Below are 12624 nucleotides of genomic sequence, written 5' to 3' on the forward strand. Positions count from 1 at the left end.
CTCTTCAAAGGAGTCTGTCCAAGGTGAACTCACCATGGGCCAAGAGGTCCTGCCTCTGGGACTGCACATCTGATTAACATGTTGGGGCTTAGGGGTGGGAAGGGCACAGTTTACTTAGATATATCTTGCTAGGTTTAAATTTTCTTTCTGGATACAAATATTTTTTACTGTTATTAAAAAAACCCCATGACTTCAATTTCACAATTTTTGTAGTTATTTCATGTATTTTAATAGGGCAATTGGGTTTCTGATAATTATAGTCTATTTTTCCTTTGGAAGTTGTCATGGGAGGGGTTGATGCCCCACACCCTCTTGTCCTTTGCAACCAGGTCTACTTGCACACTTTTATGCAGGCTGCAGCAGCCTTGTGCATGAGTTGATCCCTCTGGTGCCCGACTTGCCAGCCCTCTCCCATACAGAGAGAGGAAAAAGTCTGAAGACACACATATTTCCCAAATTCAATATCTTGAGTAGCTGAATCATGCCCAGCTCAGATGAATCAGGGTATTTAAGGTGAGCTGCACTTTTTCTTGTCTCTTTTGTATCTGCAGTTGTGGAAAATGCCTGTTAGTTGATGAATGGTCAAACAGATGTAAGAAGAATAACTGGTTCCTAGCAAAATCAGATTAAACTGCCTCAAAAGTAACCAAGCTAAAATGACAACATGTCACCCTGGAAAAGAAGGAAAATAATGGCTTTCAAAGGAATGAGAAAGCACTTTTCAAGAAAATTAGAGTTAATAAGATATCTGAAGATGGAAAACATGCCATCATCCTTCCAAATGTTAGTTGTTGATGACTGTTCCATCTAGTGGGAGATGTCACTTGGCATAGAGAAAAATGCACTGGGCTGTTGATAACCATGGTCTTACCTGTACCATTGACTGTTGGTGAGGTGTTGGGTACATGTTCCAAGTTCACTGAACCTCCGTTTACTCATCTGTAAAATAAGCACTTTTACTCACACAGTCTCAGAGCACTGAACACTGTGCCTGAAAGGGAGGACACTCAGTGTGTGGTAGAGAAGATGATGATGGTGATGTTGAGGGTGACCACAATGATGATGACAATGTGATGATGACATAATGAGCCATCACATTAGTAAGGGTTTTCTAGAGAAACAGCCAATAGAATGTCCTAAGATATGCAGTTGGCAAGCTGGAGACCCAAGAAGAGCCAATATTTCAGTTTGAGTCTGAAGGCAGGAAAAGACTGATGTCCCATCTCAAAGCAGTCAGGCAGAGGGAGTTCCCTCTTGTTCTCACTCAAGGAAGGGTGAGTCGTTGTGTTCTACTCAGTCTTTTGACCTATTGGATGAGGTCTGCCACATTTAGGAATGCAATCTGCTTCACTCAGTCTCTCAATTCAAATACTAATTTCATCGAGAAACACCCTTATAGACACACTTAGAATTATGTTTGACCAAGTATCTGAGAATTTTGTGGCCCAGTAAGTCAACACATAAAATTAACTACCACAATTATGATCATCAAGGGATCTTGCCCTTTACTTCCAAATTCGGTGATTCTAATAAGGGTGCTTTTTTTTGTAAAGCAGTCTTCAAAAACTTGCTTTTTGTAAAGGTTCTGACTTATAGGAAGCTCAGAGTTTTGCATTCTTTTGCTTGGGGAAGCAATTTGAAAAAGGAATCTTACACTTTCAGAACATGCTTTTCAAAATCCTGTTTTCTGACCTCTTGCTTAATGACACCCAATCTCACGGTGCTACATTGTATATATCAGAGAAGCAGCCTAGCCTAGTGCCTAAGAGCTTAAGAACATTGTTAAATTCTTGCTTTGCCACGTACCAACTTGTGTAACTTTGGGCAAGTTACTGAACCTCTCTGTTTCAGTTTCCTCACCTGTAAAACGGGATGGAAATAGTGCCTATCTTATAGGATTGTTGTGAGGATGACATATGTTAATGCATGTAAAGTACATAGACTAGCACCTACCTGGCACAGGGTACACACCCATTAACTATCAGATATTATATATACAACTGAAAAATTAAAGATTTACAGTGGTACCACATTTCAATCCTGTTCATTTATAATCTGTTGTGAAACTTACCAGATAATATCTTTAATTGATGGTATTTTGTAGTTGTCACTCAGCTTCGGGATTTGTTCTCGAGTCTTCCTTGAAAAGCATTTGTGTGTGTGTGTGTGTGTGTGTGTGTGTGTGTGTAAAAGCCTCTGCTAATGAACGTTGATGCAGTGCATCTGCCCACCAGATGGCGCAGTGCTCCCGCTGTTCCGAGGCTCAGCTACCCTGAGGGAGGCAGGGAATTTTGATCAGCTTCTGAAGAATCACCTCATCTCTCCCCGCAGAGAGCACAGAGCACAGGACTTCACGTTATGTCAAGTACATGTCGCTAGTTCTTGTTTGTGACTTTGTAAGAACTCGTAGGCTATAGCATTATATTTTGCAAGAAATTTGTATTATAGAAAAATGATTCATAAATTAAATAAATTAAAATGGTCATATATATGTATGTATGTATATACACACACAGATATCAACATGTGCACAGGTCTAACATAGTTTTTCTGTCTGCAGCATCTCTTGCAAAAGCCCAGCTCCTAGAGAGCAGGAGCCTTCCCAGACTGTGTCAAATTACCTCGGGGATGGAGAGACTTACATGGCATTAATAGAAATCAAATGGCAGAGCTCGGGTTTCTGGTAAGAGCGGGTCCTGGCTCCTTCCTTACATGAAGACCTGTCCAACACTGCTTGCTATCTCCTCCTGTGCCATCTGAAATCTGTGCCTCAAACCGACCAGCAGCCTTCTAAATCTCTTTATTCTAAATTTGGCGCAAACTTCTTTCATCTGTGACTTTTGGAGTCTTCTGCTGCATCACCCCATGATCCAACTTGGAGTTGGGCTCTGTTTCATTGACTTACCAGCTCTCATCATAAAGAACCTTTTTTAGCCCCCAAAGAGTCTGAACAACAGACCTCCTCCACATGGAAATGGTGAATTGATCACACTGAAAACTATTTTGAAGTCAAGCAAGGCCAGCTTATGTCACTCTCCTGCAGCAGAGAATGACTTTCACTTGCTCACTTTCACACTTGCAACCTTCCATTTTCCACAAACTGTCACTGTGGTCTGTTAGAAATATAAATTATGTCATTTCACTCTTCTCCCTAAAACTCTTCATAGATTGCACATTCTTTATTCCTAACATCTTTTATACACTCATTTCAGAGTACTAATGGCATTTGTAACACTATTACTTGCTTATTTATTTTATAACTTCTCACCTAGAGTGTAGGCTCTAAGAGTGGGAACTTTGTTGCTCTTGTTCTCCAAAGTATCCCTTTGAGCTAATGCAAAGTTAAATATAGGAGACACTCAATAAATAATTATGGAACCACACTGTTCTTTCAGCTGCCTGCCACTTTTCATGACTTAGAGCCCCTAAAGTCCATATCCAAAGAAAATTACAAAGTGACGATAATGAAAAACAAAGAACAATGATCATTTATTGAGCACATACTATACACCAGGCATTTCATGCACAATAACTCTATTTCTTGGATTTCCAAGTGTGCTATTATCAGTTCAGTTTTATAAATAAGAAAGTTAAGGTGAAGTAATTGATCAGAAGGTACATGGAGCTGGGATAAAACCCACATCTCTTTGGTCTCAGAGTCGATACTTTTTCTTTTATTCTAGGCTCTGTCTTTATCACACTCTCCTTACATTTTCCCCTGACTCTGAAGACGTTATTAATGTTTATAGCATGGAATATAGTGACATTAGATAAATGTAGAATATATCTGCATATTTTCTATCCTGACTCTAGACACAGACATATCAGAAAAAAAGCTCTTTTTAAAAAATTAATAAAGCAACTATGTTGCTCTAAAAAAATCTTTCAAACTGTACAATAGCTTGTAGGCTGGTCTAGTGGCAAGCCCCTAGGGTCCAGAGGAAGTTTCATGCAGTGTAAAGCTTCAGATAGATCCCTGATGTCACCCTCATTTCATCTGCATTCTGGAAATAGAGAAGACTGAATGTAAAACAAATCCAAATTTATTTATTTATTTATTTGTTTATTTGTTCGTTTGTTTATTTTTTCGAGACTGAGTTTTGCTCTTATTGCCCAGGCTGGAGTCCAATGGCACAACCTCGGTTCACTGCAACCTCTGCCTCCCAGGTTCAAGCGATTCTCCTGCCTCAGCCTCCTGGGTTGCTGGAATTGCAGGCGCCCACCACCATGCCGGGCTGATTTTTTTTTGGTATTTTTTAGTAGAGACATGGTTTCACCATGTTGGCCAGGCTGGTCTCGAACTCCTGACCTCAGGTGATCCACCTGCCTCGGCCTCCCAAAGTGCTGGGATTATAGGCATGAGCCACCACCCTTGGCCAAATTGGTGTTCTTTCCTTTTCTTTCTTTCTTTCTTTCTTTCTTTCTTTCTTTCTTTCTTTCTTTCTTTCTTTCTTTCTTTCTTTCCTTCCTTCCTTCCTTCCTTCCTTCCTTCCTTCCTTCCTTCTTTCCTTCTTTCCTTCTTTCTTTCTTTCTTTCTTTCTTTCTTTCTTTCTTTCTTTCTTTCTTTCTTTCTTTCTTTCTTATCTCTCTCCCTCTCTTTTTTTTTTTTTTTGACAGAGCCTCGCTCTGTTGCCCAGACTGGAGTGCAGTGCCATGACCTTGGCTCACTGCAACCTCTGCTGCCTGGGTTCAAGCTATTCTCTTGCCTCAGCCTCCCGAGTAGCTGGGACTACAGGCACATGCCACCACACCGGGCTAATTTTTATATTTTTTTAGTAGAGACGGGGTTTCACCATGTTGGCCAGGTTGGTCTAAAACTCCTGACCTCGTGATTCACCCCCCTCAGCCCCCTAAAGTGCTGGGATTACAGGAGTGAGCCACCGTGCCTGCCCTGATGTTTTCTTAAGAAATGAGAGACACCAAGGCACAAGCATTCCTGTTTTGATGACCTGTTGAAAAGGTACAATTGCCCCAAGTGGAGAGAGTCACTTTCCTTCTACAATCTCAACCAGTACTTCAGTAATGCAAAAATGCAGGGGGAGCAGCACACTAGCTGAAGAGCAACTAGAGGCCAGGAGGAAATGCAAGGGAGGCTACCGACAGTGATGATGCCCAGCCTATGTGGCGGCACACAATGAAAGTCTAGTGCCCAGCAAAGGTGGCAGTACTGGGCAGATACAGAAGCTGCCAGCAGACCTGGCAGCTGTCTCTTCATGATCCATGCCTAGCAGAAGGGACAGTGATATCTGGCAGATGCAAGAGGCCTCTGACCAACGGGCTTTGTGCATGTGCAATCTCTTGGCATATGTTTCAGTGAGCTGATTTTCCATTTGGTCTCACATATCTTTCTTTTATCTTTGCTGTGATTTCTTTGATTTATTTACATTTTTATATATAACTGCATTCATTCTTGCTGGTTGATTCAAATCCTTGGAAGTGGAGTGGAGTGAGTGAGTTTGGAGTTACATCCCCTCCAAGAGGCATGGAGATAGCCTTGGAGACCCAGAGGCAAAGATGGAGAGATTTTGTCGGGGTGGGTTCTGTATTAACTGATGATGGTGGGATGATTACTGAGGATGTGATGCAATTTGCACTCACAGGCTGGTTAAGCTTGTTTTAGGGCACAAATAATACTTCTACCTTATCAGATAGTTGTGAGGACTGAATAAGACCGCATGTATGAAGTGTTTGATCGGTGCCTGGCATGCAGTAGGTGATCAAAAGGGTTAATCTCCTTCCCCTTCCTTATTGTATTCTCATGGAACTGTAGACTTCCTTAATGCATTGTACCATAGCAGCATTCCTATCTAAAAGGTACTTTTAAGGAAGAGCGTAATTATTTGAATAGTCTATTAAGAACATTAAAATAGAAATCCACCTGGATATTTTCTACACTGGAATAAACCAGAATAATACTAATGCAGAATGTTTGTACCAGGGACTGTTCTGAGTTCTTTACATACATAAAGTACTTAATCCTATTAGGTGTGCACCTTTACTATCTTTGTTTTATAGATGAGGAATACAGGTGCCAAAAGGTTACATAACTTTTCCAAGGTCACACAGTTGGCTAGTGGCAGAGCTAGAATTCATATCCAGGCAGGGACATGCATGCATAACCCCTGTGTTTGCTGCATGGGTATGTTTAGGTAATAAAGCAAATATTGACTGAATGCTTTCTACAAGGAAGACAGTATGTGGCGTGCTGCAAGCTGCCTTGCTAAGCCCCAGAGGGGCCCCACTGACCATAGTCTAGTTAAATGCAGTGCATAGCCTGCACAGCTGTACACAGCAACCCTAGAGCACACCAAGATGTGATCCTTTGCCTGAAATCGGTCAGTCTGTAAAGCTGCCATTATGGAGAGCAAAAAATGTAGGAGCAGAGAGGACTGAAAGATTAATTTTGAGCCTTTTATCTATTTAAAAAGCACAGAGTTATGGGGTAAGTTTGTAGGTACATGTTTCAAACTCATAGATTTCCCTTTACGGGTGTCAGCAGGAGTCATGACTCGAAGAGTTTAGTGCCTGGAAGCATTGCTTTCTCGGAAAACAGGTATTATTTTATTTTACAGAGAATGTGTCTCCTATAATAGATTAAATAATACTTTCTTGGATGCATAGAAACTCAGAACCACATTAAGATTCCTATTTTTATAACTGTGTGCAATCTCTTGGCATACGTTTCAGTGAGCTGATTTTCCATTCGGTCTCACGTACCTTTCTTTTATCTTTGCTGTGATGTCTTTGACCTATTTACATTTTTATACATAACTGCATTCATTCTTGCTGGTTGATTCAAATCCTTGAAAGTGCAGTGGAGTGAGTGCGTTTGGAGTTACATCCCCTCCGAGAGGTATCAGGTAGGCTCTTGTGTGCAGTTCTCATTCACCGTACGGAATGACTAGGTACAAGAAATTGTGCACCAGTCAATGTTTGATGTAAATGTTTCCTGGCTATATTGGAAGGAAGAATATTTTTTCTGCTCTTTGTAGGGGAAGTTTTATTGTTCTTGTGGTAGATTGATTGATTGTATGATGACAATCCAGCTGTAAAGACCATCATTTTGACACATTTAATATTTCTTTTGGTCCACTGAGGGCTGGCTTGATTTTGAAAACAAAGAGCTGAAAGGGAAAGTCTACTTTTGATAGGGCAGCCATGGAAGTTTTTTACAACAAGAAAGCAGGTGGTACTATTGGAGTAAAGATCAAGACAACAGCATACAATTCCCCCAGGTCTACTCTGTTCTCTTTATGTGCCGTGAGATACCACATTTAACATCTGCCAGGCTTGAGACTTGGTATCTATTTCCACTGGAGAGGAAAGAAAAATACAGGAAAATGTTCCAGGAGATTTCCATCTTGCTTAGTCTTTATTACAACCTTAAAAGATAATCATTTCTAATATTTTAGTCAATAATATAGAGATAGTAAAGCTTTGGTGAGATTAAGGAAGGTGCCCAAGGTCACAGAAAAGTTGGGATTAGAAATTGGATAGGTATGGCCTCAAACAGGATCAGCAAGCTCCTATTAACATACAGTATAGTACTTGCCTAATAGCAAAACAAAATCATTTGCTACCATATCTTTGCTTATTGAAGCTATGAACAAAGAGGGAAATTACAGTACTTTCAGGGAGAAAAAGTACCTCTGTAGCCCTGTCTGCTGGTGCAGTTCATGTACAGAAAGACAACAGATCTCCTTGAATCCTGAACTGCTTGTCAGCCTCGAAAGGGTCTTTGAAGTGGCTTGTATATTGATTGACTGAAGTTGCATGTAGGGTGCGTTGTCATCAAAAGGCAAGGTACCAACAGGCCACAGCTGCCATTAGTGCTGCCAGAGGACAGCCTATTTGGACAAGGAAAATAATCCATTGCTTGTTGCAGAGGAAAATGCCTTTGCTCTGTGCTGCCTTCTTCTGACTCGGTTAGGAACTTATCAATCCAGAAGATAATATAACGTGACTTTGTTTTTCTGATTTGGTGTTATTATTTCAGTCATTTAGGGCATTGTACATTAAAAAAAAATCCACAGCATGCAAAAAGTATACAGTTTTATTTTCTAAAGGTGAATCACAGTCACTGCTATTTCTCTGAGAAAGCAGGAGGCTTAACTGCTATCATTGACCTTGGCCTTTCAGAATCCTCTGTGGCCATTGTGGAGAAAAGAGAGCCAGCATCATCGGTTCTAGATTAGAATAGTGTCTGCAAGTCTTAGAGGGCACCTTGATGCTTTGGCGGTCTCAATTCGCCACATGGGGTGAGAAAAACCTCTGTATGTCATGGGGACAGGGACTAGATAAACAATGCAAACAGTGTGTTTACAGATATGCAAATAAGCATGCAAATTAGACTCCTGTCGGCTTCATTTAGAATGTAATTTAAAATTAATTAAAAATTAAGAGGTAAATTAGACGCTAACATTCAACACCATATGGGAAAATATACATATTTATCAGAATGGCATATATGTATAATGCACGGGTGGGAGCCAATTGTGATGTGTGCAAAACTCCTCCATTTTGATATTGCATAAAATCAATGCGGGGAAGCCCAATATGTTGCAAGAATTATGTTTTAGCACTCTATGAATTAAAATTCACTCTAATTTAAGGATTAAATGAATATATTTTATGTGCATTAAATTCTCTGCAAACTTATACTAGCAGACATAGAGTTTCACAATTGGAAAGTGAAATGATAAATCAGGTACAGTTTACCTCCATATGCTATAAAATATCTGTGAAACTCATTTTTCTCAAATGGGGTCATTGAGCACATTCACCCTGGCAGGCCTTTTGCATATTGTTAATATGCGATCTATACTTGGAAAGTAATGATTTCCCTCTCTCAGTCACTGAGGAGTTCTGGGTGATTAATGAGTTAATGGCTGCATCCACACAAGGCCAAAACAACTCATTGAAAAGTGAAAAATTCAATCACTCCGCTGACTGTTTTGTCTACAAAGCAACCAAACTACCTCTGTGATTGATTTTCTTTTCACTGAATTGATTGCTATTTTTTGGCAACTTTGTCAAATTAACCAATTGTTTGATCCAACCAGAGTGCAGACCTTCTGTGAATGTAGCAAAACATTTTTATACTAACTTTCTCCCATCCCTGAAGATACACATAAGCAAGGAATCAACATATATATGCAGTACCTGTGTAAGAAAATTAGAATTATTCCATATTTTGGCTACCTTGTAGAATAAAAATTTAATTTTGTTCAGAGGGACATAGTTCTTTTAAAATAATGACAAGTAATGCAAAGGATCTTTTTTCATTTGATTTCAAAATCTTCAGACAAGGCTCTGAAATAAACCTGAATAAAGTGACCACAGAGTAGGCATATTATAGAGACAAAGGAAAACGAGCAACAATAATGAGACAAAAATAAAACAAAACCCCTGCAAAGACTGAAAGAGGTTTCAGAAAACAATGCAATGAATGAGCAAATTAGGAATTTTGAAGCACATTCTAAGAGCTAGAATGGCCAGTGTCAAAATTGGGAGATAGGTGTGGGAAGTAAAAGAAAGATTTAAGAAAAAATGTGTGTTCTTGGCTGATATATAGATGTACACACTGCCCTGATATAATTGAACACTCTGGACAAAAATAGCTTCTTGTGTTCATTTATCTCTGTTAAATTTGATTGCTTTATTTTTAATAATGCTGGCACGCTCTGGCTAATGTGATGAAAAATATTATTCTTTAAAATGTTGGAGTGGAGAGCAGGTTAAAGCACACCTGTTAAAGAGTCAATTAAAATTTGGAAAGGAAAGAAAGAAAGCTACATTGTTAGAAGCTTTGCTTTTAATTCATCCTAATTTGATGGTACAGCAGGTGTACAAAGAGGAAAGGGAAGTTCTCATTATTGTTTGCCTCAACTGAATACAAAGAGTCGTGTTTAAAAAGGATAGAAATTTATTGAAACAAATGGTATTAGAGTAGAAATGAGTTCTGCCATCACTTACTTCAAACCTTCTTAATTTACAGATGAGTCTCCTGAGGTTCAGAAGGGTGAGATGACACATTCAAGGTCACATGGCTCATTTGTGTTGGAGTCAGAAGTTTCCAGATTTCTTGACTTTTAGTCCAAGGAGCAGTCCCTGTGCATGTGTCAGAGTTGAACAAGCCAGGTAAAAATTTTAAAAGTTAAAAGAAAAAAGTATGAATTCATTTCAAGAATTGTATTTGAATAGAGACTGCAGTAGACAGAGGTTCTGATACTGAGACCTAAGAAAGTTGAGGCCAGGTGAGAGTCCCGTTTCTGAGCTGCAAAATTTAATGTCACAAGCAGTTGCAAAATTGCGTCTAAATGGGCCTCCCAGGTTCCAGGAGAGCAGATGGTCCTGAAGAAGGTCTTCCTGGCTGATCTGAGAGGTGACACAGAAGAATAAAGAAGGGAAGGATGAGATGAGCTTCTGAGTTTGGAAACTGCATTGATGTTGAAGATGGTCTCAAAGTTGTGTAAGCAAATTTCCATTTTTTGGAGAAAAAAGAATTATAGAAGAGGATTTTTTAAAAAAGCTAGTGCTACAAGTACTATAGTGCTGAGGGTAAAGGTGAAGGCAGAGAAGAATTGAGCTCAGATGAAGCCAGGCGATGTGGGAAACCTCAGACTGGGAGTGGTTATGGTTGAATTTGTGATAGATAGAAGAGGAAAGGTCAGATGTGCATTTGACTAAATGCCTTTTGACAAAGCATCCGTATAACTCTGATGCTTCTCTTAGGAAAATTGACAGCTTGTCACTAGGCATTGCAATTCCATTGTGGCATGATGCATTCATATTCAGGAGACACGACAGAGGTGTTTACCTACCATCAGCCTGAACCAATGGCAAATAAAACAAGGCAGGCATAGTTTTATTTAAAAGGAAGAGCTGCTTTTAATTAGATAATTGAAAGAATAATATTTTTCATCAGAGAATTTTCACAGGATCACAAGATGGCTTATATATTGATAGGATAAAGAATCATTTAGTAAAGGCACTGTCGGCTGGGGAGGGGGCTAAAGATGGGGGCTGGTTTGGCACTTCAGTTGAGCTTTCTTTTCCAAAAAAGAGTGAGAAGAGGTAGGACAGAAGACAGAAAGAAGTGAGGTGGTCAGCGTGTATTTTTCTTTTTCTGTTGTTTTTGCCTGAGGGTAGGGAGTAGGAAGACACGTAAGATATCCAGTGAGGATAATGGGTTTTTGTTTTGAGATTCTGGGAGGGGCCAACACTAACCATCATGGGATAGGCCCACATAGTTAAGAAGGGAGAGCAGTTGGTTGGAGAAGAGAATCTAGTTGGCACACTGAGGGTCTCTGGTTTCCTCTTAATGGGGATGCCTAGTCAAAAACCAACAGGTCTGATGTGGCAGCTGCGGGACACCTAAGCCCCCTTCCCCCTCCACGCACCCCCACACTCACTGCCATCATCGTGAGAGAAGCAGGGTAATAGGAAGGCTGTTCGAAAGAGCAATTTTATTCAAGAGAGACTGGGTATTCCCTAAAGCGGCTGTTTAAATTATTGGATCAAGCTAAATTTAAACCAGGTTAGACATTTAGTTAATTTATTTTTCTCTAACCAGCAGGTGGAAGTTCAGAGAAAGACAAGATTATAGACAAAATAAAGGCACTACATTTTCTCTGGTAAAAATGTCTCAACATTTTCATATCCTGTTGGTTTTCCAGGAAACATAGAAATACGCTGTAAGAAATAATCCCAAAATTGACGTGATGGATTAAAGATGAAAAAACATGCCTTGGAATACCTAATGGGAACATTAGTCTATCTCTACACCCAGATCAACATGACTGAATATAGCTTTCTTAAAAAAGCAGTTGAATTCAGCAAGGCAATTATTCTATTGCTCAATAAGACTTAATATTTGGATTGATTGAATTTCCTTTGCTTTTTATTTTGGAGTCTATGTTCATAGCCTCAATATAAGAGTGAAAATTTTCACACAGAAACAATACATAATCCAATAAAGAGCCAGATACAAGACATTCTTTTATTTGGAAATATTCAAGGGAGTGTTTAAGCAAGGGATGTCTTCTGATAGAGATAAGTACAGTCTAATTGGACAAATGTTGACAGTGCCCCATTAAGTGTGGGCACATGATAGGCACTGAGATCCACAGGGCATGAGGGGTGGAGGGGAGCACCCTGAGGAAACAGAAGTCATGGAGAATAATTCTGATTGAGGAAGTCAGGAGGGCTTCACAGAGGAGGAGACCTTTGAGCTGGGCCTTGAAGAAAGACTATGATTTACAGAGGGGGAGATTTTTCACAGGAAGGGCATTTGAGCTGAAGAAATATGGACAAAGGAATATAAATGAATCAGTGCCCACTGGGCTTACAGTCAGCCCAATAGTCTGATGTACCTGGAGTGCAGGATGGGTATAAGGTGGGGTAGGGGAGGTGTGGCCGGGAAATAATGTTAGAAAGAATGATTGGAGCTGAGGAATAGAGGGACTCAAATGGCTTGTGATTTAAAAACAACTGTTTGGCCAGGCATGGTGTCTCACGCCTATAATACCAGCACCTTGGGAGGCCGAAGAGGGTGGATCAGGAGGTCAGGGGTTTGAGACCAGGCTGACCAACATGATGAAACCTTGTCTCTACTAAAAATAC

At 40.0% G+C, this 12624-nt stretch overlaps 1 long non-coding RNA gene across 1 annotated transcript in view, besides 1 other annotated feature; it reads left to right on the forward strand.

Moving 5' to 3' along the window:
* The first annotated feature begins 1127 nt into the window (after positions 1-1127).
* The window catches only part of LINC02380 (long intergenic non-protein coding RNA 2380), a 40115-nt gene continuing 28618 nt past the window's right edge, over positions 1128-12624 (forward strand). Inside the window, exons 1-4 of the long non-coding RNA NR_125907.1 lie at positions 1128-1274; positions 2235-2365; positions 2561-2683; positions 9998-10140. This is a non-coding gene — a long non-coding RNA (long intergenic non-protein coding RNA 2380). The remainder of the gene's footprint in view (positions 1275-2234; positions 2366-2560; positions 2684-9997; positions 10141-12624) is intronic.
* Positions 2059-2353: an enhancer, noted in NCBI's record as "tiled region #5602; K562 Activating DNase matched - State 12:CtcfO". NCBI's record gives its function as "activates a minimal TATA promoter and a strong SV40 promoter by Sharpr-MPRA in K562 cells {active_cell/tissue: K562}" and the evidence as "EXISTENCE:reporter gene assay evidence [ECO:0000049][PMID:27701403]".

Source organism: Homo sapiens, chromosome 4, assembly GCF_000001405.40.
Source record: "Homo sapiens chromosome 4, GRCh38.p14 Primary Assembly".
Lineage (NCBI taxonomy): Eukaryota > Metazoa > Chordata > Mammalia > Primates > Hominidae > Homo > Homo sapiens.